At 39.9% G+C, this 2,209-nt stretch overlaps 1 annotated feature.

Moving 5' to 3' along the window:
• Positions 786 to 1,319: an enhancer, noted in NCBI's record as "OCT4-NANOG-H3K27ac hESC enhancer chr2:222657489-222658022 (GRCh37/hg19 assembly coordinates)". NCBI's record gives its function as "activates a minimal SCP1, AML or CMV promoter by ChIP-STARR-seq in naive H9 embryonic stem cells {active_cell/tissue: H9 hESC(naive)}" and the evidence as "EXISTENCE:reporter gene assay evidence [ECO:0000049][PMID:30033119]".

Consider the following 2,209-nt stretch of genomic DNA (forward strand, 5'->3'; position numbering starts at 1 on the left):
AAAGTGAGGCTCAGGGATGCTAAGAAACTCACACAGGCCACAAAGAAAACAAAGGTCTGAATCAGGATATGCAACAAGGTCCATATGACATATGACTCATTTTTGTTTTCATTCAACAAGAATTAATTCAGTGCCTACTCTAGGCTAGTTTGTGTGCCATGTGTTCAATGCGTGTTTCTTCTACAATACTTGGTGATATGTTTTGGCTCTTTGTCTGCACCCATCATGTTGAATTGTAGTCCCCAGTGTTGTGGGGGGTACCTGATGGGAGGTGATTTTTGCTTTTCTAGTGATAGTGAGTGAGTTATCACAAGATCTGGTGGTTTGAAAGTGTGTGGCACTACCCCCTTCACTCTCTCTCTCTCCTGCTTTGCCATTGTGAAGATGTCTTCCCCTTCCTCTTCCCTTTTGCCTTCCGCCATGATTGTAAGTTTCCTGAGGCTCCCCAGTTATGCTTCCTTTTAAGCTTATGGAACTGGGAGTCAATTAAACCTCTTTTCTTTATAAATTACCCAGTCTCAGGTAGTTCTTTATAGCCATGTGAGAATGGACTAATACACCTGGCCACCTCTTTGCTTTTCTCCCTTTTGAATAAAATTAAATGTCTTATAGTGGTTCCATCTACATATTCAAATGGGGAACAGGGAAAGTACTAACTGGATATCTCATATCCCCAGCCAGTTTCTTTTCTGAAAACACACACACACACACACACACACACACACACACACACACACGATAATATGGGTTTCTACACATAGTGGCCTCATTGGAAACTATTTATGTGGATAAAATGAGATTTACCAGCTCCTTCACAAAGGGGTAGATGTTGTACTTGCCATGTGTGTTTGAAAACTTTTCAGGCACTTTGTAGAAACAGTTTTTGGTGGAAATATAACACTTACTGAATAAGTGAAGGAGTTTTTTGGTTTTTGACATTATTAAAAAAGCGGCAAGTCTGAATCCTCTCAGTGCTCTGTGGAAGCGCACGCTCATGCTCCCCTTGGGTGGTGCCACATTATTCATTAGACACCTTCTCCGGGCTCTCCGTCAGTGTAGGCTGCAGGGAATGGTAAGCTATTAACTTCCAGTGACAAGAAGCTTAAATTACAATGCAAACTCTGCAAGGCGCAAAATTTGCAAGTTGAATTCCTTGAGAGGAACCCCTTTGTCTGGCTGAATGCTGCTGGAGGGATTGGTGGGGAATGGAGCCTGAAGTCTCATACAGCCTTTTGGAATCTTTATAACCTTCTTCTGCTTTGTGAACCTCAGGACCAGCCACTGAAGGAGGGGCTCTCCTTCCTGGAGTTCTTCCCTTATCTTTCCCCAACATGGCTGGGTAGCCATGATGACGGGGAGGACCTGTGGGAAGAACAAAGCCAGCCGGGTGTTTTATTCTGTCACTACCTTCCACTCAGTGGCCAAAAGCTTTAAAATCAAACACTATAGTTGGAGACATCAAGTCAATACTGGCTGCACCGACTGTCTCTGGCTGAAGGCAGCTTAAGGGGAGTGAAGGTAATGCTTGTTGACTCAAGAAGAGGCTGAAAATCTGCCCAGGAATCACCCAGTGGAGAAAACGATCTGATTTTAAAGTCACTGATAAATTCTTTCCACTTAATCTTTATTTAAGGAAACAGTGTTAATTAGCTGTGACTATTTCATGTAATTATCTTAAAACAGGATGAGTATTAAATGCTGATAAAAGCAATCTCAAAAGGCAATCGTGGGTTTTGTTAGTTTCAAGTATATTATTTAAACTAAACATAGTTGAATATGGTGAAATCAGAAATATTTTTAACCAATGATATAATTGTCCATGTTACATACACATTAAAATTGGGAATTAAAATCCATCTTTACAGGAACTTTCTATGCATTCTGCATGCCTGAAAGTTGTTTCTTCTGTTTCCACATTCATATTTTAAAATGTGGAGCATATTTTGTTAATTCTATTCTCCAAGCAATTAATTAGTGAAATATTTTTTGAGCATCTTTAGTGCTCAAGTTGTGGACAATACACAAAAAATATAAAATCTGATCATGTATCTCCTTAGGAAGATTATAATCTACTTGGGATGATGGAGGGGAATATGCAAATTTTAATCAGAGGTACTTAGGAAACTATGGAATTTAACTCTGGCTTTATCCAGAGAATAATTTTTACCTTTGACTCCCACCATGACTTGAACACATGCTCATCATTTGC

The sequence above is a fragment of the Homo sapiens genome, chromosome 2 (assembly GCF_000001405.40).
Source record: "Homo sapiens chromosome 2, GRCh38.p14 Primary Assembly".
NCBI lineage: Eukaryota > Metazoa > Chordata > Mammalia > Primates > Hominidae > Homo > Homo sapiens.